General features: G+C 43.5%; 1 protein-coding gene across 6 annotated transcripts in view, besides 3 other annotated features; it reads left to right on the forward strand.

The window, feature by feature from the left end:
- The window catches only part of TFAP2B (transcription factor AP-2 beta), a 29265-nt gene extending 12845 nt beyond the window's left edge, over positions 1-16420 (forward strand). For 5 of the 6 annotated variants that reach the window (XM_017011233.2, XM_017011234.2, XM_011514837.3 and 2 more), the window contains 4 exons: positions 4862-5081; positions 6776-6894; positions 8957-9098; positions 11893-16420. In XM_017011233.2, coding sequence (XP_016866722.1) covers positions 4862-5081; positions 6776-6894; positions 8957-9098; positions 11893-12193 — 782 coding nt within the window. In that variant the 3' untranslated portion in view covers positions 12194-16420. The remainder of the gene's footprint in view (positions 1-4861; positions 5082-6775; positions 6895-8956; positions 9099-11892) is intronic. The other variant, XR_007059334.1, reaches the window with a different exon arrangement.
- Positions 11355-11860: an enhancer, noted in NCBI's record as "NANOG-H3K27ac-H3K4me1 hESC enhancer chr6:50810267-50810772 (GRCh37/hg19 assembly coordinates)". NCBI's record gives its function as "activates a minimal SCP1, AML or CMV promoter by ChIP-STARR-seq in naive H9 embryonic stem cells {active_cell/tissue: H9 hESC(naive)}" and the evidence as "EXISTENCE:reporter gene assay evidence [ECO:0000049][PMID:30033119]".
- Positions 17821-18322: an enhancer, noted in NCBI's record as "H3K4me1 hESC enhancer chr6:50816733-50817234 (GRCh37/hg19 assembly coordinates)". NCBI's record gives its function as "activates a minimal SCP1, AML or CMV promoter by ChIP-STARR-seq in primed H9 embryonic stem cells {active_cell/tissue: H9 hESC(primed)}" and the evidence as "EXISTENCE:reporter gene assay evidence [ECO:0000049][PMID:30033119]".
- Positions 18323-18822: an enhancer, noted in NCBI's record as "H3K4me1 hESC enhancer chr6:50817235-50817734 (GRCh37/hg19 assembly coordinates)". NCBI's record gives its function as "activates a minimal SCP1, AML or CMV promoter by ChIP-STARR-seq in primed H9 embryonic stem cells {active_cell/tissue: H9 hESC(primed)}" and the evidence as "EXISTENCE:reporter gene assay evidence [ECO:0000049][PMID:30033119]".

Raw genomic sequence — 26009 nt, forward strand, 5'->3', positions numbered from 1 at the left:
AGCTGACATTTCTGAAGTAATTTAGTTAAGAGGAAATGAGTTGTTCCCAGTAGAGAGAGCAAACGAGTGGAGTGAAGGTAGCCAGCGTGATAAATGGCTCTTTCATTTGAAGATCTCCAGAGCTCGTTTACGGCTAATTTTCTGTATTGGCCCCCTTTGAGCTATTAATGCAATCTGCAGGGACCGTGGCCCCTCTCCTCTTAGCTGCCCCATTAGAGCTCCCATTAAGCTGCCTAGTCTCAACTCCATGGCGGGAGTGGGCGGGGGGAGTAATGAAAGGTGCTTTTTAAACTCTCCTAATCTAAACCGGCAGAGGGTGGTTAATACGATTTGAAGGGGGCTGGTCAATGAGCAATCAATAAAGTAATAATGAGAAGGATTCGGTACATTAACAGTCTAAAAATCCAACGAGACATTAAAAAATCATTCTTAACTCTCAGTTCCATTAAGATTAGAAATCTGGGGGGAGGAAGAGGGTGTACCCAGCTAATAAAAATGATCACTGCCACCATCATGTTGCTTAACTCAAAAAAAGGCTCACCTAAACTTTAAGAAAAAGTTTTTGGTGCAATAAGAAGCCAATATGCAATCTGTTTAACACCTTAGACAGCAGAAAATATTCTGGGATTTCTTGGAAAGGCTAGCGTGGCTGGAATCCAAGGTTCAAATGTTGTGACTGTGGGGCATTTTCATTGGTCTTAGGGATATCCTGTTTGGTTAGTTTCAGTTCATCCTCCATTCTCTCCCACTTTCTTTCCCGTTAGTTCTGGCCCCTTCCCCACATAAACACTTTGACTGGTGTGGATTTTCTTTCATGGGAAATAAAGAAATTGCCAAATTTCTATTACAATTGATTCTGTTGGGATTCTTCTGACCTAGAAGGTAAAATGCTCTGAGAGTCTGTCAGAGTCTCTGAACGGTATGAGTTTCCTCTCAAAAGGAAGAAGTTCCCATTTCCAGGTTGGACTTGGATCCCAATAGCTATTTATCAACTAGAGACCCTGAGAAACACTGCAGCCACTCTTTCAAAGTCAGGTAGGTTAGACATTCTTCTTCAACACTCCAAGTGCTGAAACTGAGAGAGACAATAAATGACTTTCTCAAGGTCCTATACACCATGTAAGTGATGAGACTCAACTCAGTTTCCAGCCTTTTAGCCTTCTAGACTCTGTCCCTATAAGATGCCAATACTGGATGTTTGAGTTTTTTAATATCCCTGCTTTATTTGTGGAAATTATTTTTTTCCCCACAATTTCAGTCCCCACACTTATACATGCACTATAGTTGTGGAATAAAATTTTACACTCAGGTACATGAGGAAGTGTTTAGATCTGAGGAAAGGGTGCTTTGCTGGTGAGAAAAAGAGTGCTAACTTTTAGGGGCCACTTTGAGTCAGTGCTAAGCCTCCTGGTTGTTTCCCAATGTCATTTACATCTTTAGGTCAAGAGTGCCTTTCGAAGGTACTTACCTTATGAATCTATAAGATAGGTTCATTTCTTCCCTTCTCCTCACCAGCAGATAGAATCAAATACAAAGTTCTCAAAACTATAATTTCACACTTAAGTTTAAAGAGTAGAGATTAAAAACTAGCCTATTAACACTTTAGCTCTTCTATAGTCAACTAATGAATAGTATTTTCTCTAATCATTTTTCTTTCCTCTCTTTTAAATAAAACTCCAGCCATGTTAATGAAATATTGATCTGTTTTTAGCCTTTTTTTACTTCTCCCCAGCATAATGCAGCAAAAAAGGGAGGGGAATGAGTTTTGTGGGTGTTACATCCAGAACTTGGCCTTGACACCCAACTGGGAACTGAAGAGGAAAAAAATACTTCTAATGTATGCACAGAAAATTGTAAACATGTAAAGAACTGAAAGCTTCATGCTGAGTTTTGCCATGCCCCATTTCCTTACTATTTCCTGCTGTCGCTTTAAACCTATCTCAGTCATCTCTGGGTTCCATGAGCAGGAACAGTGTGCTCATAATTACTAACAAATCAACCAGGCCCTGTTGAGCTCTGGGTTTATTGATAAACTGGAAGAAAGCAGAAGGGAAAAGACAAAGAAAGTAAAATATGGGGTTAATCAGGTGAACTAAGCAGGTGTGAAAGTGGAAGGGAAAGTAGATTATGATGGAGTTATGGATCTAAAGGAAAGTTGGGACAAGAAATGTGTCAGATCTGGTCTAGGGGACCAATACTAAGGAGAGAGGTTTAGAACATGAGGATAGGAGGCTGGGAACACAATTGTGATACTTAAATTAGAAAATGGAAATATAGTCCAAAGCACATCTTCTGACATTGTCCTTGCTTTGACTGGAAGGGGAAAAAACAAAAACAAAAACAAAAACAAAAACCTTCCCAGAGAGGGCAGTGTACTGACAGAAGCTGATTGGATTGGGGGTATGCAGGTGATAATGTATATGCAGAAAGGTACTCAACCCATGGCAGGGAGCAATATACATTCCCCAAAGGAAATAGCTCTTGTCGGGTGAATCAGGCAATTAACAATAGTGAAATTACAGGGTGGTTTATAACATTTCTTTAAAGGCCCGGCTTTTCCAGAGGTTTAGCTTCTGGGACAGGGAGAAGCAGGTAAGATTCCAATACTCAGTGGGTATTTGGTTATCCACTGTGGGAAGCAGGAAGTGAATTTAGTACTTTCAGCTTAGTGGAGTTGGTTGTTATTTAAAAAAATATTCTAAATAGTATTTAGAGATAAATATGTTGCTAAGTATAGAGGTGAGATTTTTATCTAATTTATTTCTATAATTCATATCATGTTAAAATTACAAAGGGCCATCTATATTTTGGAAAATAAGTTTTTCCAAGTTTTCATAATGCCAACTCCCATGATTGTCAATTATTTGTTTTTAATGCCTTCACTATGAGTCTGAATTATGGAAATCAGCACTGTTGTGAAGAGTAAGATAGACTGAAATAGATGCCCCCACCAATCACCTGTCTATTAAGTGACTTTAACTTCACATCTCACTCAAATCTGATTAACATTCACACTTCAACTTTTCATTGATTCATTCTTAAATGGGAAGCAGATTCACTGATGAGAAAATGAGGGAAATCAAAAAGAAGGAACACCTCTCTATATCCCCTGTCCCCGCCCCATGACAGGGCAGAATATTTACTCTGTTGCCAACATCAATTCATCCATCTGGGACAAGGTCTTGGGCTCTGTGGACAGATCCATAGATCCTAAAATGCCTACTGGGTAGTAGCAGAAGGGAATGTTTTAGTCTCCTCATCCACTCTTGTAATAAAGCTCTTTTCCACAAGGTGTTTGTAAAGGATCTAATGAAATTCATAGTAAATAAAAGATTTGGGAGCAACCTGGCTTCTAGGAGTCTCTAAACAACTATGGAGGTTTGTATACTGGAATCTGTGGTAGAGAGAATAAACTGTTAGAGAAATACACAGTATTGGTTAGTCTGTTCCATAGAAGGGATGTTATGCATCTTGTTTGATATATAGGGTTCTAGGCTCCAGACGACAGAAACAGCCTATCTTTTCCCCACACAATTACAAAGTGAGATAGACTTTATCAAATAGGTAGGGTTGGAAACCTCTTTTTTCACACCAGATGCATGTTTCCAAAGATTTTTTGGACTGGTGATCGACAAATACCATGAAGATTTGGAGGCCTCATATCCCAGTGGAAGAAGCAAAGTTACAGGGAAAGTCAGGAGGTATAGCCACCTGTTTAGGGGCCTGTAAAACCTACATAAAGAAAATGGGCTTAAGCAGTGAAGTCCAAGGGAAAATACTGCCAGGGAACTGGGAGATGGACTGTTCCTCATTCCCAGCCTTCTGGTTCCACTGAGCCTAGCCTCTTTCTGACATGCAGATGACACTGAAACACAATTAAGCAGAAATACAGGCTGGAGAGGCTGAATGCACCAGGGTAGCAGTGGCAACCAGCTGTCAACTCTTATTAACTTCTGCATAAAACATACCTTGAGTGCGGTTTGTTATCAATTACTTGCCGAAAAGAAACAACTGGGGCAAGGCAAGACCGCCGCTCATATGAATTAGAGTGATTGGTTGATTGATCAGGGCACCTGTTGTAAATCATAACTGTTCCAAACAATCACTAGCCGGTGCTTTAATTTGTAAACAAAATTCATGTCACTGCAGAATTGCTTTCACTGAAGATGAGCATTTGGGTTCCTTTCTAAATGAATCTGTTGTTATTATGTAGGGAAGAATGGGGCCCACTTTAAAGAGATGAGCAGCTGTTTTGGGCCCAGCTCCCCAGCTCAATGGTATTATTTGTCTGTTCTTGGGCATAGTATCTGATGGGGTCCACCCTCCTTATCCTTTCTAGTGATGACCATAGATCTGGGTCCAATAGGAAAGGAGGAAGGGGTTTCCATTGGAATTACCATTTTATATCACCGCATGGTGATAATCACCGTCAGGCTTCAGCACCAAATGAGATAGGCATTATTATCCTCAGGAGACAGATAAGGAAACTGAGGAGGTTCAGACAGAGTCAGTCAGGTGTCTAAGGTCACAGAGTTAGCACACGATGGAATAAGATTTGCCTGGTTCCCAGCACAGTCCAAACTCTGGGTTGTTTGATTTCTTGATTTGGGTAGTGAGCAGGACTGTAGCAAATGACACTCATATGTCTACACACGAAGTAAGTTTCCAGAGGAGGTATGGCTTTGCCATCTGTTTGTTTACAGCTCTCTGAACGCACTGCAGCCCCACTGGAATAAACACTTCCTCCCTCAGCTTTCCACTTGGTGTCTGTCCTGTGGCCTCACACAGAGACACATTCTATCAGCCGGTCATCAGGATCGAAACTTGGTCACCTTTATGGCAATTTTTTCTCTCTTTCTAGTTCCAGTTCCTCCCAAATCGGTGACTTCTCTAATGATGAATAAAGACGGCTTCCTGGGAGGCATGTCTGTCAACACCGGCGAGGTGTTTTGCTCCGTCCCAGGCCGTTTGTCTCTGCTCAGTTCAACTTCGAAGTACAAAGTAACTGTGGGAGAAGTTCAGAGACGGCTGTCGCCCCCTGAATGCCTCAATGCATCTCTCCTCGGCGGAGTCCTCAGAAGGTAACCCCACCACGAAAAACAAAAACAAAAACAAAAAAACAAACAAAAACCCACCAGTTTTTATTTATTGGACAGTGAGGAGAAGGTTCCAGCAAAACCCAATCTGCAGTCTGACGCAGTTGCCTAGCAACCGGGTGGCCGGAGCATTGCTTTCGCGCAGCGCTTGGGAGGATCCGCGGCCGCCACCTGCTCGCCCACAAACTCTAGTGTCCTTGCATCCAGGCCTGCCCGCGCCGCGCAAGTCCTACCGCAGATTTTGCCGCCCTGGGAACCTTTCACTTTCCTGGCCCTGCGCCTGGCGCCTCTCTTCCTGTCACCCCTAGGACATCTCAGGGGGCATTCTCCAGCCTGAGTACAACGCGGAACTAACAGCCCCCCAGCCCCCCCACAAAAAACCCCATAAGTTTCATGAAGCAACTCTCTTCATACCTTCAGTGTACTCTTTCTCTTTTATTGCATGTTTTAAATGCAGTTGGCACCCAGTGAAATTGGTCTTTCAACCTGCTGATGCACTGTAACCCAGTTTGATAAACTCTTTTTCTAAATTTGTGACATCCCTCTTTCAATAACACCACCACCAATAATAGCAATAATATCACTTTAGAAGTATTTATAGGTATTCCTGGGAGCCATTCAGGTGCTTCACAGTATTCCACAGCCCAGAGACTGACTCCTCCTCGTGGAAATGTGAGAGAATGTGGATTTTATCTTAAGATGTAATGCCTCCCTTGAAGTCCCTGCCAATGCCTGAACACTTTGGCAGTGTCCCTGATATGAAAGTGACTTTGTCTGAGACAAAACTTTCCAAGATGACCCCTTCTGGGGGTTGACAGTCCTTTTCTTTCCTAAAAGTGACTGTATGAATAGTACAGCAAAAGAGATTACAGTAACTGAGGATTTTTACTTGTACTTTTGTCCATACTTTAGCACATACAAGGAGAATCTTGGGAGAAATTAAGGGTGTGACCCAGGAACTTTCTCATTTTGAATCCTCTTCCTCTGCCCTCCTTTGATTCAGTTTTCAAGTGAGTGCTTTGAGCCTCAGAGTGTGGAAGTTTTCAATCACCCCCTGAACATTAAGCCTGTATATATAAATTTGCAGAGATGAAGTAAAATAATCAATATAAAGTGCTTATCACATAACTACACTTCCAAAAGTGTTAGTTTTACTGTTATTATGATCATCACCATTTCGATTTCAGTCTGCCCTCTCCTTTTAACATAACACCATATACAGCAACTCTTGACCCCTTCCTCACAAAGCCCACCTGTTGCAGCAAGTGCGCTCTCCTCTCTAAGCCACCTGGCTCTTATCCTCTTTTCAGCAAGGTTGTGCTTGCCCAGTTTCTGCTCACCTCACTAACTCCATGACAAGGAAGGAACATGCACGTGCATGTGCAGCTTCTACCTTCTCTAGACCCATAACCTACACCTAATTATTCCCATCTGGTATCCTTTTTTTTTCTTTTCTCACAAGATAAAAAAAGAACACTCAGTTAAAAAAAATTCTCTGTATTGCAGAAATTAAGCAAACCTCAGCAAACTATCAGCAAATAACCAAAAGGAAGGGGGAAAAATGTGCTAACCTCAAGTTAAAACCTCTTCAAGCTCCACTGGGCTTTAGATTGCTAAGTCTAAACTTTGTTTCAGGAACACTCTAAGGTTAATCAGAATGTTAATTCTTGCAATTTCAGAGCCAAATCGAAAAATGGGGGGAGATCTTTGCGAGAAAGGCTAGAAAAAATCGGTTTGAATTTACCCGCGGGCAGGCGCAAAGCAGCAAATGTCACGTTACTCACCTCCCTGGTGGAAGGTAAGCAAGACGTGTGGCCATTTCACGAAGTGGCTGAGCTTAACTGTCGGCTGGAGGCTGACATTTTACACATTTCATGATTAACTGGAAATCGTTGTGATTGTTGTGCTCTTATGAGCTGGATGTCAAGCGGCTTCTTGAGAGAGGTTCAAAGGTCCTTTTACTTAGAGGAAGCCAGCAGTTGTAGACAGGGCAAGGGAAGTATTTGAGAGTTCCTGTGCTCTGAAAAGTGCTCAGGTCCAGCCTCCAAGACAAAGCAGGGGTCACTCCTGCTGTCACGTGCAGGACATCCTCTATGTGAACTCTTGCAAGAGTAACTCTTTAAGCAATAATTCATTCTATACCCCTTCACCTTGCCAGATTTGAATTGTCAGTAGTAGAAAACACATTGCATTCATGACCCCTAATGGTTATTTTAAAACTTTTGTCACTCCTAGGGCCAAATCTGCAGATTACCTGGGACATGTTGTTATTGAAATATTGATAGCTTAGTAAGGCCAATGATAGCTAGGGGAAGATTGGGGAGGAGGGGTGAAGAAATATGTAGGGGAGTCAGGTATTATCTTCAATGTAGATTCATCAATTGTGAATTATAGGGTGATAATTGCAATAAGCACCTTATAATTTGCTCATCAGTTTGGGTTTGGGGATGATATTTATGGTATGTAATAAACAAAATCATCTACACAGTCCAGAACAAGAGGATCTGCAGTTGAATTTGTGGGAAATAATATGAAATACAGTCAGATGGTCCTAATGGAGGAAGATGCAGAATTTTCTCTAGCATCTAGCTTGTAGGTCTTGTGTTTTAATTCCATTTGTATGGGTGTAATATTATGATGCTCCTGTAGAGAGTTGGTTTTAGAAGATGGAATATTAAAATATTTAGGCAGCAACCATTAATCATCACAGTTACAGGCCTTATACTTGGCCATTTTTAAGGCAAAGTTGCTTGGCCTGAACACCCTCCAGAGGCAGGAATCACTGAAATTTCCAGACCACACTTACTAGTGGTTGACTCTTAGCCTGGAAGTTTCACATTTTACCCTTCAGGGAATTGCTAATATCATAGTCCTCATTTTGGAAAGCAATCAAGGTAACCTTAGCTCAAGACAGGGATTTCAGGGGAGAAGGGAGGAAACTGGAAACCCCACTAAAATTCCAATATTTGTTTGGCAGTTTTTGGTTTTGTGACTCCTTGTAAGCACCATGCCTGAAGTCTTTTGTTGTTATGATAATAATGATTAAAAGTAAGTCATCCTCCTTAAAAATAATGTAGCTATGGGGTATTTCAACATATCTGTTTTTCATGTATGGGATCTGTCCTTGAACCCCAAAAGGCTGTGTTTAAAGGGTAATAATGCTTTACTTGAAAGGGGCTTTCACATAAGCTGAGTAATACCTTAGATACTCCAGTTTTCTGTAGCTGCTGTGTCATCTTTGTGCAGTGAAAAGTCCTGAAGTAGGAGGATGATGACAGGAACCTCTGAAGGGGAGAAACCTGAAACTTGACTAGCAGGAAAAGTGACAAGGAGAATTATTATTTCATTGCAGATAGAAATACTCTTTCCATATACATTTTACATATAGTGTTTAATATATGTGGACATATATACACATGGGCTTGTTTTTATATATTTGTTGGAATACAGTTGTAGCAAGATGATGGTCACTTTTAAATTTTATTTAAAGCAAGTGTGACAGATGCTTTAAAAAGAAAGAGGAATCTGGCTTAAATGTCCAGCCAAATGTCCAAATTCAATTATAAGGTGGCTCTTGACAAAAAGATTAGGGTGTAGGAGACCCCGTAGCTATTCAGGGGATGTCTAGCTAGGAGTTGGCTCAGGGAGAGGCAGGAAAAAGAGACAGGAGCAAAGTTGGTCCCACCAATTTTAATTATAGCTTGAGAATCATTTTTCCTTTAGGCATCTCTCACCTTTGCTTTTGGCTCCAACAGCTGGCCTTCTCTGGAAATACTAACAAAGCTGACAAGGGAATGTCTCCGCCCTGGGATATTTAGGGCCTGGGTGCTGATTATTACCTTTACTGCTGTCTTTTTCAGGAGAAGCTGTTCACTTAGCTAGGGATTTTGGGTACATTTGCGAAACGGAGTTTCCCGCCAAAGCCGTCTCTGAGTATTTGAACCGGCAGCACACAGACCCGAGTGACCTGCACTCCCGAAAGAATATGCTGTTGGCCACCAAGTGAGTTTATTAGACTCTGGGCCCTCATCTCACTCCCAGCTGGCTAGGCCACCCGACTTTGGAGTAGGTGGTGGGGAGGGGCAGAGAAAGAAGCCAGAGGGTTGTCTAGAAGTAGCATTTGCAGCCTCTGGCAAGCAAGGTAGGCAGAGTTGATGGGCTACAGGTTTGTCTCAGGTGTCCTCTCTGGGGAAAATGGCTTTGTTAATCCGAATCCAGCCTTCTTACAATTCTCTTCTATCACTCTGGGGATGTCAGGCAGATCTTTTCTGAGGGAGTTCTTGTTCCAGCTCTTCCCTGGATCCGAAGGTGCATATTTCTGCTTGGGTTTCACATCTATCTCTCTGTCGTAGCCACATAGCCATGTGTGCTCGCTCAGGGAGTCTATAAAACCCACGTGTACCCATCTCTACCCACAGCTCTAATTACTCCGTTTCCAACGTTGCTGTTTGTCATCTTCCACAGACTTGTAAAATTTACTACAACTCCAGAGGGGAAAATAGTAAATCTCTGGCTAAATTTAGGTCTAGAGCTCATTTGAACTTTTACAGTGGGTTTTCTATTTATTTGATTTACTCCTGTCTTTGGCTTCGGTGTCATATTGTTGGTGTTTTATGGCCGGCTCAGGCCTGCAGTGGGCGGCGCTGCGTGCGCCCGCACGTTTCTCTTGCAGGCGCGGCCCAAACAGCCGCGCTCATTTATTTAGTGTTGGAGGACGCGGTTTGTCCCGTTGACAGCGTAATTTAAAGAAATATATGGAAGGCTGAAAAATCATTTGCTCAAATTTGTCCAGATGTTTTTGAGACGTGATTGGAATTTGATTGCCCCTTTCCGCAGGGTCAAAAAATATTAATGTCCCAGAACTTTAATTGCTTACAGACCCTGGTTTGGGCTTTGAAGATTTAAAATGTTTGACTCTAAGCATTTGTTCTCCCCAGTTCAGAATGTCTTTTTTGGCACTTTGGTAATGAGTACAAACTTAAGGAAAGACTTTACCCATCTCTCCCAATGATCAAAACCTGGCATCCACCCTCTTTCTTGAAGGTTTTCATCTGCTGTATCAACCAGCAGTAAAATAGGTATTTGTCAGTAGATTGCCCTCCTGCCCCTTGCGCTGGTGTCTGGTGAGGCACGGGGTGTGTGTGTGGGGGGGATCAGTTGTGCTTTATAAAAGAGGAAGGGTACTTTAGGGAAAAAAATAAAACCAAACTGTATAAATCAGATAGGACCCACAAATGACTCTCATTTCTCTAAGGTATGCATCTAACTACCCACTGTCCAAGCACTGTGGCTTCTCTTAGGCCAGCACTTCTGAACCTAGGGTATCAGAATCAGCTGGTGAGCTTTTTCAAGATATTTCTGTATGGGGCTATCCTCAAATCTTCTAAATTGGAATTACTGGAGGTGGGGGCCTGGGAGTGTGTGTTTGAACCCCACAGGTGTTTCTAAGGTGTACCTCTTAAGAGCTTAAAAACTGCCCCACTTTGGTCAGAACCCTTATCTATTTCTTCCTGGTTGTGAGGATGTATGTGTGTACTTCAAAGGGAGAATCGAGGGTGCCTGTTAGTGTTCTCTATCCACCCATCTTAAAACCAGCAACAGTTTAGCTTCTGTGACTGGGTGGTATTCCTCATCAGATTTAGCCACTATCCCAAAGTGGCAGCACCCTAGGAAAGGATGCCCCAGGATTCTTTGAGTCCAATCACCTGCCCTGTTTACCTGTTGGCTAGGCCAGGTGTGGCCAGGTATCTGTGAGTCGGGCCAACCCATTGTGGGTCTAGGACTGGAGTGCTGTAGGTTTATTTTTTTCCTAAACCCCACAGACCCATAGGCTGGGTACAGGCAGGTGGACATGAGAAATCTGCCCATCTGTGAAAAGCTGTGGCCTTTGGGATGCTGTGTGTCTGCCTGCCAGCCATTTGACCTTCAGGGCTAGAACCATCCCATCCAGCTCCTATATTAAAATTTCTCAAATAAGCTCAATCCATAGGTAGGCACGCAGGATTTCTAAGGCTGGGAGATTCCTCTAAATTGTAGGTGGCTTGAGGAAATAAAAACCTTCAACAAATAAAAATCTATCCTCCCTAGTGTCTTAACAGCCTACCTTTAGGTTTTATTTAAACTATATGGGAATCCTTTTATATTGACAACAGTCTGGTTATACAAAGATTTTCAGTGCCCTACACTTGGAAGAAAGAAAGGAGGGAAAGGCAGAAACTAGCTCCCTCCCCCAATACTGCAGGTAAACAGGTTTTTGCTTTGAATGGAATCAGCATTCTCTAGAATAAACAGTTTCTTGCCCTGGGCCATGGAAGGCTCCAGCAATCTGCTTCAGTGCCAGGGACAGGCTTGTGGCCGAGGGGCCTAAATCTTTCAGGGCTTTTTGCGCCTGATCACCAAGAGGTTGGAGAGGTGGGAGGGGCGCGGGGGAAACAGCTCAAAAGAAATGCCAGGTAAGAGCTCAATATTATGAAGTATTAAAAATCAACTGCTAAAGCCTAGCGAATGTCCCAAAGCGAGTCCAGGCGGTCCTGGAATGGAGGGGAGAAAGGCTGAAGTCGGGGGAAGGCAAGGCTTTGGGGTGGAAGGGGTGCATTACCTCCCCACCCCCGCTTTCCTTTCAGTCCCAGCTGCTCGAGAAGGGAGGGCGCTGGGAAAGGAAACAGAGCGGAATCGCCCACATTAGCCTCGCTCTTCGGTGACCCGGCGCCTCTGGGCTTGTGTGAGCGTCTCCTTTCTAATGCCAATGACAACGACACTGAGGGTGATTTTCTGTGCCTCGCCCACCCCTTTGCAGGCAACTTTGTAAAGAATTTACGGATCTACTGGCGCAGGACCGGACACCGATAGGGAACAGCCGACCCAGCCCCATCCTGGAGCCGGGGATCCAGAGCTGCCTCACGCACTTCAGCCTCATCACGCACGGCTTCGGCGCCCCGGCCATTTGCGCCGCGCTCACGGCCCTGCAGAACTATCTCACCGAGGCGCTCAAAGGCATGGACAAGATGTTCTTGAACAACACCACCACTAACAGGCACACGTCTGGGGAAGGCCCAGGTAGTAAAACTGGCGACAAGGAGGAGAAACACAGGAAATGAAAAATTTTTAAAAAAAGAAGGAAAAATGTTTTAAATACAAAAGGAAAAACAGACAAAAATTTAATTTTAGCTTTAAAATATTGGATTGGCTTTGGAAGAATTATATTAGGTAGAATACACATACAATCAAAATTTTAAAAAAAAAAGCTAAATAACTTAAAAAAAAACTGAGGCGTACAACGGAGCAACAATATCGGTTCTCAGTGTCTATTTCAAGATACATTTGGAGACAACCGTCCGGATTTTCCACTTCGGTTCTTTCGAGTTTAGTAATACTGATAATAAAAGAAAACCATGATTTCCCCTTCCCTTTGGAAAATAAACATAAGACTAAACATGAGAAAAACGCTAACTTATTGGAAGAAAATCGGAGAAACGTTGGTGTCAATGCTTTGAGAGCTGGTTGACTGAGACGCACGAACTTTTTAATTTTAAATATATTTTTAGGAAACTCTCGCAGTCCCCGCCCTCCATCTCACCTCACCCGTCTCCCAACCACCCTTTTCCATGTTACCCTCCCTTCCTCACATTGTTACGGGAATCTTCTGGGATGAAAATGAGTGTGGTTGGCCCTTTTGCGTTGTTTCAGTCCTCTCGGTACCTCCCCGCCCAGCCCTGCGATCTTAACTCACCGGGCCCGGCTCCCCGGCCGCTTGCATAATTAGGGAGGGCGAGGGCGGGGCGGGAGGCCTGTGGAGACCAGGCGGAGGCTGCAATTTTTGGTGCCGGCCGGCAGAGCAGGTTCTGGCGGCTGAGGAAAATCCGGACCAATAAGTTGATTCAAACATCATCAGTTCCTTTCAGAAATGTTACTAGCTCCCAGCCTTGCCAGCATCTGCATAGAGAGAATCTCACATTTATTATATTTGTGTCATCTACTAATTTTATGAACTATAGTAAAAAAAAAAAAACACACACACACACAATATGAATACGTTGATTAGTATGTAATTCCTTCGGAGGGGTATGTACCATTTCATTCTCTTCTGTTTTCCAAAGCTTTGCCCGCATGGTTTATGAGCTTCTTCAAAGAGGACTTGGGCTTCCTACACAATCTATAAGGTACAGAGAAAAAAAAATCCGATCCCTTTTTAATCAAAGCCTGTGTGTCAGAATTCTGCAGGTGCACTTCTTTAAAGAAGCTCAAAGGGAATAATTTAGAAAGTGGCCAATATGATGGAAGCAGCTTTGAATCTACATGCTAACATTCCTCAACACTCCAATTCCGGTGGAGGTGGCAGGGGAGGGGGTCTGCAAAATGAATTTTAAGGGAAAAGAGTAAGGATTCTTAGAGCCCTATATTCTAATAGTATTGCCCTGCATTTAAAATTGATTTGATTTCCCTGGGTTCTTTGGTGATTGCTGTTTAAGCAAGGAAAGAAGCAGCTTTACGAGTGGACGTGGGGAGGAGGGCGGCACAAGCACCCACATTTCTGTAACAATTGCTTTCTTACAAGATGCTTTATGAATGAGGCATTTTTCCCTCCCAGACGTGCACTTGTTTTGGCATATAATGGCAAAATAATGCAAAGTGAAGGGAGATGTATTTCAGCTTTGATTTTTACCGTCTGGATACATCGGGACTATTCCCAGTGGATAAAGTTTCATGCATTTAATATTTCTCACTTCTGGCAGCCCAGCTCCTTTCTTGGGCTCCATCTTAGCATTATCATGAAATAAGATCTGGAATCCATTGTCTGCACCTCCGCAAAAGCAGTGAGAAATTATCCCGGGATAAGGGTGAATGAGAGAGGTCTCTAAATATAGTGTTGATACACTCACCTATTTAACAAAGTAGACGAGATCTTTGCAATACCCCTTAAAGATAACGACATAGATGTTGTTCTGCAGGATTTATAGTTAGGACCCACTCAATTCTCCAGGACTCCCGGTTTTGCCCCCCTCCCGCTTTGCCTTGGTGGGGGTGGGGATTGGGGGAGTGGGGATTGCGTTGGGGTTTTAGGAATCTGCTGAGAGCTTTGCCCATTTTTATTAAAAGAGGAAAGGGAAGTTAGGAAGCTCGTCTCAGGTCACCAAAAGGGCCCAAGCAACTGTTAGGGCCACACTGCAGCCCATCTCCAACCCCTAGCTTCGTTTAGCACTTCTGATCTTCATGGCCCAGCCCTAGAACTGTTGAGAGGAATGCAATGGCCAAGAGCTAGACGTTACGGAGAGTGTAGTCACTCTCTTTTCCCAGCTCAGAGGCCTGCGCCTTCGTCCGAGAGCTCGGCCGATCGCATTAGATGTGTTCTGATTGCACAAGGCCAGGAGAGACCACACTGAAAACGATCGTCTCCTTTCCTTGCAGGGCAACGCGCCCCACGCGTGTGACGTGCGAGAGACGCGATGGACGCGCCTTGCTCTTACTGTGCAGGTCCTGAGAGCGTGTGGGCCACAGGCGCCCAGTCGTGTTGAGGACATAGAATCAGCCGCTGGAGGGGCTGCCGACTGCGCGGGCCCTTCCCGCTCTCGGTCTCACCCTAAGGGCTAAGGCGACCGAGAAAGCCCCATTCTCCAGTAGGTAATGGGGCGGCGCCCGGTGGGCTGCAGGTGGGGAGGGCTCCCAGCGCCGCCAGCGGCCACCCGGGGCGCCGGCTCCTGGAGGGAGAGTGGCCTAGAAATATCCAAGGAATCCGAAGCTTCCCCTCCTCCACCTCTGCCAGTACGGAAACACCCCACCGTCACAATCCTAAAGCGGGGAGATGGGATGGGAATTGTCTTACTTGGCAAGGCAGGGTACCTTCATTGCCAGACGCCCTCATTTGTGTGTTCCTCCTTGCTCCAGCGAGATAGAACCTTTTGCGCCCCCAACCCCGTTTCGTGGAGTGAGCCCACTACCCCTTCTCCCTCCCTCACTTCTCCTTTCATGTAGGACCCCCGCCCCCTTGCTTTCCTTAGCCAGGCCCGCTACATTTATCTGATAATTGAGTTATTAAAAGATTTGGTTTCCTTGGGCCTATAAATCAATAAACAGTAGGATTAACGCAATAGTTTGCCTTTTAAGTCAAGGGAGACGTTTAAGGCAAGCCCCTTTGAGCTTTGTTTTCAAACCAAACAGGTGAGTTGCAGCTCTCCCCCCGGCCCCTGCACTCTTCAGACATTTGGTCCCTGCCCACTCCTAAACGCTCAGTCCCAAAACAAAATAGCGAAAGACAGGAGGAGTCAGGATGTGGCAGTGCTGCCTTCACACTTTCCACTTCGCAAGTTCTTTTAAAGGTTCCAAAGATCTCCAGACCATTCTCTGCCAAACCCTGCCGCCTCCTGCACGTATTGCAGGTCTCTGGGGAGCAAGAAATGTCCTGTTTGGGTGAGGATTCCGTCACCTAAAAAGATCTTTAACTTCTCCCCCAAAGTGGGAAGGTAACTTTCTCCCCCTTTTCCCCACCACCTTCACTCCTACACCCCCAATTACCTTGCATTTTCTTTCCTTCCTTCTGGCCTCCACACCCATAGCTTTCCTCCATCCCCACTTAAAGAACCGAAGAGGCTTTTAAAGACCTGGCTGCTTTGTTTTCCTTGGCCAAGGAAGCCACTTTCTCTCAAGCAATTATTTCATATCCTACGAAAACTTTGGTCGAATGGAAAACTCGAAACCTCGAGCTTATCTACACACTGTTCCTCTGCTACAATGCTTTCCTAGTTAAGAGTGTTTATAGAGAATTTGTCATCACATCTGATATCCTGTACTTGTAATACATTATGTGGAAAGGAAATAACCTTAAACCGTCTGATGTTGCCTCAAGAGCCCAAACGGCGTTTCCCCACCTTTGACGATGTATGTGAAATTACTGGCTTAAAAAAAAAAGTATCAATTTTTTTTTAACGGAATGAACACTATCCTTCTTTAAATGCCAAAATCGACTCCACCTTTGAGTTGGTCTCTAATTCTCTAACATTGTTTTTGCCACACAATCAAGAAATATCAATCTATTGACTCTTCACGAGAAGAGCTCTGGAGGGTATTCATGTTAAGTTTGTATATATTTATTTATGCTTAATTTAATGGGAATGTGTAAATATGGCGAGCAAGTAGTTTGGGATTATTTATCTGTGAATCTATACCTCTGTGAATGGGTGGTTAAAAAACCTCTTGACCCTAGATAGAATCCTATCTGAATTTTTCTGTTCTTTATAAACAAGCTGTTATGGTAATGGGTAGAAATTGGTTTATTGTCCAGTGTTAATCTGATTTACATAAATAAAAAGATTGTTGTGTTTTCATCTTCAGTTTCTTAAATGTGGACAATGTTTTTAATTCTACCGACAGAGGAAAAGTGTAAGAAGCTTTTTACTTTTTGTCCTCCCCCATCGAAGCACCCACAGCGTTTTCATTACAACAGAAATATAATAAATTTTGCTTCTCAGAAAAATGAACTTTTTTTCACTAGGAGAAGTGTTTTTGATTTTTTTAAATTCCAAATTTACATTCTTCTCTCCTATTTCTAACCAGATTTGCAATAAAAGCTAATGTTAACTGAATCTTTTGGTTTCTTCTGCCCTTTACAAATCGAGGAGTCAAATTTACTTCCCAGGTAACTAGAGGACTCTGGGTTGCTGTCAGAGATGATGCTCCCTTCCCACTGCTCGTGGGTTGGCATTCTGGCATAGTGTTCTAAGAAGGAGATGGTGCACGGTGCAGGAGAAGTCTTCAGGGCTGGGTGTGGGCTCCTGCACCCCTCAACTTGGGATATGAAGGAGTTAACCCCCATTTCAGAATTGAACCCGACCCTGACCTCATTAGCAGTGCAAGGCCCTCCATAAACAATGGAGGAAAAAGCTCCCTCAACTGAGAAGAGGAAAAAAGTGTACATGTCTTAGGAAGTTGGGGGGCTCCTACCCTAGGCTCAGAGGCTGCCTAGAGAAGCCAGAGCTTTTCACACCTGGGTTAATAGGCTTCAGCTGGGCCCTAATGGGCTGCAGTGATCAAACATCGTCTCAATCTGTATTTTATTCCAAGGCTTAGGTGTCTTCCTTGAGGCCAGGAAAGCAAAATCACCCACGATGTTAAACAGTTTGGATGAGTCACTGCTCCTTTTTGCGCCTCAAGGTCTTTATCTGTAAAAATAAATATGGACCTCCTAAGGTCCTTTACTTCATCAATATTGCCTATAGTTTAATTATAAAAAGCAGAAACAGCAACCTGTATATGAGTTTAAGGAGAATTGGAAACTTTAAATCATGATGATCCCAGATTTATATATCAGTGCTTAGCATATAGTTTGTTTTCAGTTAATAATATGCCTCCCATACCAATTTTCTGTTTTTAAACGTGAATCTTTTTCAATTGGACTTCCTTATAGGGAAAGGCAGAAGGAACAATGGAATCTGCTTTATGTGAGATTTCCCCCTTCCTGTCCTATTAATTAAAAGCGGGAAGATCATGGCTAGAACTATAAATAGTGGAATCAAAGAAAAGCAAAACAAACAAACAAACAAAAAAAAACAAAAAACAAAAAATGGGGGGGGGAATAAAAGGAAACAAGGAAGCAGAGAAAACCAAGGGATGTGTGCTTATGAGGACATACATTTATCTAGAAAAAAATAGATATGTCTTATTCTCTGGTTCAATTGTTACACTGAGTGTTCCTTTCATTTGCTTTACAGAGGATGGGAGTTGGTTACCACTGGGATTATACAAAGCAGGTGGTGGGTAATTTCCATATCGTATGGCAATTTTTCCTGCTCAAGGTTAGCACGAGCCCTTGATAAACCGACCTGCAATCTATTATCCCACAGGTAAGCTCCAGGCTACTCCTACCCACCACCGCCACTTGGCAAAAAGAGGGTCTGAAACAATCACCTTTAGTAAGTAAAACCCAAGATTTTGAGGAGCCTGAAAATAACTGAAGGAAAGACCTGGCAAGAATAACCAAAAAGGGAAAGAAAAGGGGTTGGAAGCTGGAGACAGCCTTGACTAAGACAGCCCTGGGCTGCGTGTCACAGCTCCCCGGCCCCTTTGTTACAGTGTTAGCAGGCTGTAGAGGGAGTAAGGAAAGAGCAGTAGCTAGAACCTCTAGGTCGTTGACCGGCCCAGCGCAGGGACCCTGAGACCGCCAGATCCGGTGGGCGGCTTACAGTGGCCCAGAACGCACCCGCCGGCTCGTGTTAGCGGGTTAAGGGCTTGATTAAAAATAGTGCTGGAAGGAAGACCCGATTATTTTTTTATGAAGCCACATTCCTTTTCTTCATTTGCAAATAACAGTTCCGTAGGGTCCCTTCCCAGGGACCCTGGGCGCCGAAGTTAGGGGCCACCTGAGAGTTGTTGGCCCGGTGGGAAGTGTCCCTTCCTGAGGGCGCTCTCGGCTTCTCAGGGCAAGCTGCCTTCCACGCTTGGACTTTGAGGGCGGTTGTCTGTCATGTTGAAGCCTCAGAAATTAAACGTGCAGCTCACAAGTCCATTAATTTGAGCTTCCCATTAATCTATTTATAAGTGAGCCAGCGCTTGCTCTATAAATACAGTCCTATAAAATTGAACTCCTTCCCATAAATCTTCCAAGCTGTTTATTTACATGTATTCCCTGGCTCTCTAACGATCCTGGTGTAAACTTGGGGAAGACTCGGGCAGACCCGACCCACGACGGGGTGGGGTGTGGGGCGGGGGGGCGCGCTCTCCTCCCGTTCCTCTCCGCCGGGATCGCGGTATCCTAGGGGAGGGAGGAACTGCGCGCGGTCGGAGGGAGTGGATAAAAAAGACAGGGCGAAAACTCATTTTTCCTTCTTGACTTTGTTTCCTTGTTTCTATCCTAAACTCGCAGTCTCCATATTTCCCATCACACGCTCCACGGTGATTTATATAGTCATAAACAGCATTCTTGCGACTGTAGCTCCTCTCATAGCTTGAGGTGAGCTCCTTTTTCACTTTCCTGGCAGCCACTACTTTAAATCAGGCCTCATAAATAACCCCATGGGCTTACTCAGGATGAGGTCAGTCAAACATCTCCCCGGGTCTACTTTCCCGGCTTGGGTCCCGCCATGCCCCTCCCCTGGGTCACATGCCGGCGCACTCCCACTGTCTTTCCTTCAGGTTTCCAGAGCTCAATCACCGACACCAGTTGGGAGACTGGGTAATAACACACGCTCCGGGCACAGGGACCGCGGGCCAACGAACCGCGCGTGCGCCGCGCCAGCCTGCGTCGAGCCGTCGCACACGGCTCCGGGAGCCCGCGTCTAGGCACGCTCTCCAGGTTGCCAAGCAGGGTGTCAACAAGTGCGCACGCGCGGACGCCCACGCAGGCGCACGCGCCGTGGCGCCCCCGGGCGTAACCCCAGCTGCTGTGACGGGCCAGGGCTCGCAGCTCGCCTGCTAGAGTTTGTGGCGCGCCCTCGGGATCAGGGCACTGGGGTTTGAAGGGGCTGCAGCGTGGGAAGCCTTCAATTTTTTTTTTTTGTAAGCTGCGTGTGCTCAGATTGAGGAAGCAGTTTTGTCACACATGTTCAACACGTTCCACGCTGGTCACAAGCTAGCAAGGTCAGGTAGTTTTTCGCCCACTTGTTCGAAAACCTATTAGTTCCTGCCCACCCTGCTCTTCGCTTTTCCTCCTCTCTCCTAAGGGCTGCAGCCTTCTGGAGCTGACTCAGGCGAGAGGCGTCCAGAGCCCAAATAGGGGTCACACCTGCTGTCGAGAGAGTCCTCTGCATAAAAATGCTCTTTAAAATTTTTAAAATCAGCATAATGGCCAATGGACTTAACAAAGCGTGACTTGCCCAGGCTGCACGGAGGGCAACTCTGGCAGTCATCTGTAACTCGACCAGTTAACGTCCCGAACGTGCCTGTTCGCGGAGATATTAGCAAACGTTTCAAGGATGTGGCTGTCAGATGTCATTAGCCAACGCTTGCTCACCCAACCATTTGCCTAACTGGGAGGAGGGCATGGCCACGGCGTATAGGCGTAGAATTTGGGGGGAGGGAGGGGTGCCACAGTTTGTTCCCTGTAATAGCCACATGTCCCGAATTGTGCAGACATTTATCAAATGACTAGAGAAAAGCTGGCACATGAATGCTGGGGTACAGAGACGTGGAAAGGGGAGCTTCTCTGAGACTGAGACTGAACATGCAAGTCATTCAAGTCTTCTCTAGTGTGGAAACTCCCCAAACCAGACAGGTCTACTGCGCAGAATAGGGTGGAGGATCGAGTCCAGTCACTGAGCCCTAGCACTTGCCATGTGAACCATAAGGCCCTGAACACTGGAAATTCAGCGTCCGGACTCTCGATCAGATGCCCTAGAGCTCAGAAGCACCTGATTGCGCGGAAGGCTGGTGGTGGTTACTTGGGCAAAGAGAGTGCGACTCGAAACTCGAGTTTCTCGGATTTAGGAAATCCGATCTTTAGACAGTTTCTACACAGCGTTGGATTTTACTTCTAAACGGTCAGCTGCTTGTTCTAAGTTTGAAAAGGGTCAGGTAGGTTTTGTACAGAATGGCTGAGAAAGTACTAGGCAACGCAACGAAAACAACTATAAAACCAAATCAAACCTCAGTGCTCCATTAGCTAGTCCTCGCCAAACAAATAAAAAACATACAAAAAATGCCAGTACTAACTTTTGAGATTAAAGCATCAATCTTGGGAAGACTTTTGGGTAAATGTTATTCTCTCTGATACATGGTTTGCCAAGTGACTAGGTGAAAGGCCCTTTTGGGGGACTGTAGTTAGGGCTACTTACTCACATACACACCATATCACAATATGGGAACTCCCCAATATTAGGACTAAATAAAACTCAACCACAACAAAGTAGTGTTTGCCAATGTGAATTTTATGAGAGACGCATATGTTAAGCAGAAGGAATTTTTGTTGTTGTTGTTGTTTTTCTCATTGCTTAGGTTTTAAGGCTCTTGCTTCTCTTGCTTTCAATATAGAATTCTTTTGGCCAGGGATTCCTAAAGATGGGGAACTATCAAGATTGAGGCAAAAGCAAGGCTTTTTAAAAATAGGTTGTTTCACATGCTTTTCCTTTTGCTATGTTTAGGGAGGCAGGAGAGGGGGCCACAGGCATGAGCCCTCCCAGTGAAATGAGACCCCTGAATGATGCGTTCACTTTTATGTTCAATCTAAATATTCTTTTCTTCTTCAAAGATGAAGACCATTCAAGACAATGGGGCCAAATAATCTAAAGAAGGATCAAGCTGATCTTGGTCCCTGTGACCTTTTACCCTTCCTTTAATTCTCAGGAGTGAACATCTGTGTTTGGAGCCAATGTCTGAAAGTAATAAAGACAATTAGAGCATTTTATTTTTTCTTGGGAGGGGGAGTTGGGTGCCAGTGTGCAGAGGTTAAATCTTTGTCTATGACACTGCTTTTCAGGATGAAACTAATGGAATAACATCAACTAAGCCTTCCTGCTTCTCAGGCCCTGAGGAATGGAGTGTACTAATTATGTACTCTGAAGCTATAGGTAATTCATGTGTTTCTTCCCCATCTTTATTAGTCTGTGGGCATTTAAAAAACGATCCTATCATATGTCACCTATACACAGGAGCAGAAGACAGTCTGCCTCTCTTCAACCTTGTTTGGGGTTTACTTTCAGATGTGAGGACTATTAAATTAGGTTCCGGAATACATTTTCACTCTCTCGTCAGTTTTGTGAAGGCACTTCCCTCTTTCATCCACCTAAAAACAAATTAAGTCAAACCAAACCCCAACCTTGACAAAACACTAATACTCACTACATGTTTGTCAATTTTTTGAAAAGTGCTTCAACCTTTAGTGTGTAAAACTGCAAAGTCTACTAATCTCAAGCCCATTTGAAAGGGTCAAACATCTGAAAGAATAAGATATTCCAGAGATAACCAACTAGAGAAATGTATCTCCAAAACAGTGAAATAAGACATTTTCTTGGTACATGTTGTCCTTATGGCACTCTGTTGTGGGTTTTTGATGATCCAAAGCTTGTCTCTTGGAAAGGATATACCTGCGATCTTGAATGAGCAAACCTATTACATATGCATGCAGAAAACTCCATAACAACTTAAAACTTTTGGGTGAAGTTAAGGTTGAAAAGTGACAAAATATCTCTCTATATCTCTATCTCTCTGTATGTATCTCCTGGAATCACAATTGCAGTGAAACTTTTTTCCTAATGGATGTCATTTGGAAAAGCCATCCTATTTTTAATGTTCTAAAATTTGTAGAAGGGGATATGTCTAGTAACCAGAGTCTGAAACCTTAAAATGAGGGTAGAGTTTTCCTGTCAACTGCATACTGGATAGCTTCCCTGCATGTCATCACTCTAACATGGACACAGAAACATGAGTTTGCAGTTGAATCATTCTACATTTAATCACATATGTGCACACGTAGAAGACTGTTATCACTCATCATTTCTCCTTGATGTTAAACATGTGTTGGGAATTTTGGAACTCTGACTTCTCCAGGTCATATTTGTGACTTTGTTCTTACACATGCAGTTTAGAAACCTACAAGGTGGTAACTAGGTTATTCTTCCTCTGTCCCGTTTTTTTTGTTGTTGTTGTTTTTTGTTTTTTTTTGTTTTTGCTGTTAATAACTCTGTCCTTCCTTTCCTCTCCCTCACTGACTTCCCCCTCCCCAGCATTCTGTCAAGCAATAGGCTGTAAAATAGTTATCCAGACCAGCAGCCAGGCAAGTGCCGTTTGAGAGTAATTTCTGCCCCAAGCATTTAGCCCAGGGCAAAGCAAGCGTGCTCTCTAACTGATCAACCTGGATATTTCATTATTCATTAATTTACTGTTTAACCAAATCCCACTCATTATCAGAGGCAACGCTTGGCAGAGCCCAGCGAACAGTAGCAGTTGGTGTCAGGCGTGGAGAATTGGCCCATTTGATCCTGGGCTGTTTTATTATTCAACACCACTGACTGAGAAAAAGGTCCATGAATAATAAAGAGCCAAAGCGTGTTTGAACTGAGAAGCATGACACAGCCTTACAAAACAGCAGTTAGAAAATTAAAGGCAAGGTGGCCCAGACTTTGCATTTTTTATCTTGGCTGTGGTCGCAGACATTTATATCCCTACATTGTTTTCAATGATTTTTTTTTTCAAGTCTTTAAGACAGAGACATTTGTTTCAGTTGCACCCTTTCAAAACAGGCCATTGAAGAACTCAGGAGCAAACTTACACAGCAAGAAACAAACATGCCTCCAGATGGGAACTTGAAAATGTAATTTCTAACCTTATAATCAGTTAGGTCCTTTGTGGCCCTTCTCAGCTATAGGGAAGATTTGGGTGATTTTGATTCTCCTTTGGACTTGCCATCATCCATACCCTGGGTTGTTTTAATAATATAATTCATCATGCCAATCAAACACGTTATATTCCTTTTCTATCCAGCTGATTCCTTGACAAGTCTTTGGGTCGGTAAGCACCTGGCCACACAGGGCATATAGCAAGGGGTTTATGGGGCCCTATAGGTAATATTTAAGGTCTCATTAATACGAAAGAAGGGCTTATGAAATATATATGGATGGAGGGAGTAGAAGCACCTTTTCTGAATCTACACAGACAACAGTGGTCATGAGTTCTCAGGCTCTGGTTAGGTCTGTAAGTGTACAGTTGAATTGAATACACTTGTTGGATCTATTAGTGGCAGGCCTGAAAGTATGGTGTCTCTAGGACTGATCTGTTCTGTCATTTATTCTAGTCATGCATCTTTTTAATCCATTGCTTTGTAGTCCTTGAATAAGTAAGATGGAACTTAAAACTGTAATGATAACAGTACCCTTTTAATGTTTCCTTCTACTGCCTAGTAACATTTTATCCACACACAGCCTTACTTAGGCAGAAAAAATAGAGTGCAGGAGCTATGGCTCTTTTATTTAGATAAGCAATAGCTGTGTAAGAAAAAGTTTCTGACTACCAACAAAGTCCACATGGGCTACCTATACCCATCAAAAGTAATATATAGCTGGGCATGGTGACACACACTTGTAATCCTAGCTACTCTGGATTCTGGAGGCTGAGGCAGGAGGGATGCTTGAGCCCAAGACTGCAGGACCAGCCTGGGCAATGTAGTAATACCCCTGTCTCAAAAAAAAAAAAAAAAAAGATAATATATATAATCTTCATAACTCGGCCAGGTAGAATGGCCAGGGTGCTAAATACTTAGAATGAGATGTAAAACTCCTGTTCAAAGGTGGTAATGGTGAAACCAAATTTCAAGTGATTTTTAATATTGGCATCTGTAAACCAATGCCGAAAACACTAGAGGGATGTTAACTTTTTTACCTTAGGACATTCACTTGCTTGCCAATATGGTTTGGCTGTGTCCCCACCACCCAAATCTCACCTTGAATTATAACAATCCACACATGTCAAGGGCAGGGCCAGGTAGAGAAAACTGAATCATGGGGGCAGTTTTCCCCATACTGTTCTGGTTCTGGTGGTAGTGAATAAGTCTCACAAGATCTGATGATCTTATAAATGGGAATCCCCCTGCACAGGCTCTCTTGCCTGTGTCATGTAAGACATGCCTTTGCTTCTCCTTTGCCTTCTGCCATGATTGTGAGGTCTCCCCAGCCATGCTGAACTGAATCCGTTATACCTCTTTCCTTTATAAATTACTCAGTCTTGGGTATGTCTTTATTAGCAGTTTGAGAACAGACTAATACACTTGCCTTGTATGCATTTGGAAACTGTTGTTAATAAGTTGAATTTAAAATAGGATGCAACATTAGCTTGGAAAGAGTTCTTTTAACATCATAAGATGTTAAAGAATGGCTTGTCCAACCTCAGGCATGTAACTCTCGACAGAACTGCAAATATAACTTTGGTGTCAAAGTGCTCTTCCCTCTACAATAGATGTTAGAGCTTAGGTTTCTATTTTAGATATTAGTGTCAATTTTTTTCTACATATCTTTCTATGGCTTTGAAGGAAGAGAGCTTAAAAAAATTCTGATCCAATTGGACTGGAGTACAATATTTTTAAACTTATAACTTTTTACTTTTATTTTTTATTTTTAAAATTTCAACTTTTATTTTAGATTATGAGTTACATGCGCAGGTTTTTTACATGGGTATATTGCAAGATGCTGAGGTTTGGGGTATGACTGAACCCATCATCCAGGTAGTAAGCATAGTTCCCAGTAGGTAGTTTTTCAACCTTTACCTCCCCACTCCATTTTATTTATTTATTTATTTATTTATTTGATTTGCAGTGTCACTCTGTCACCCAGGCTAGAGTGCGGTGGTGTGATCTCAGCTCACTGCAACCTCTGTCTCCTTGGTTCAAGCAATTCCACTGCTTGAGCCTCCCGAGTAGTGGAGATTATAGGCGCCCTCCTCCATGCTTGGCTAATTTTTGTATTTTTTGTAGAGGCAGGCTTCCACATGTTGGCTAGGCTGGTCTCAAACTCCTGACCTCAAGTGATCCACCTTATACTCATCAAAAGTAACATATAGCCGGGAGCCACTGTGCCCGGCCTTCCCTGCCTCCCCCGTCTTCTTGTCCACAGTGTTTATTGTTCTCATGTTTATGTAAATGTATACCCAATGTTTAGCTCTCACTTGTGAGAATATGAAGTATATTTGGTTTTCTGTTTCTGTATTAATTCAATTGAATAATGGCCTCCAGGTGCATCCATGTTGATGCAAAGGACATGATTTTGTTCCTTTTTATGGTGGCATAGTATTCCACAGTGTATATGTACCACATTTTCTTTATTCAATTCACTGTTGATGGGCATCTAGGTTGATTCCATGTCTTTGCTATTGTGACTAATGCTTCATTGAACATACAGGGGCATGTGTATTTTTCATAGAATGATTTATTTTTCTTTTGGGTACATATATCCAGTAATGAGATTGCTTGGTCAAATGGTAGTTCTGTTTTTAGTTCTTTTTTGT

Source organism: Homo sapiens, chromosome 6 (assembly GCF_000001405.40).
Source record: "Homo sapiens chromosome 6, GRCh38.p14 Primary Assembly".
NCBI lineage: Eukaryota > Metazoa > Chordata > Mammalia > Primates > Hominidae > Homo > Homo sapiens.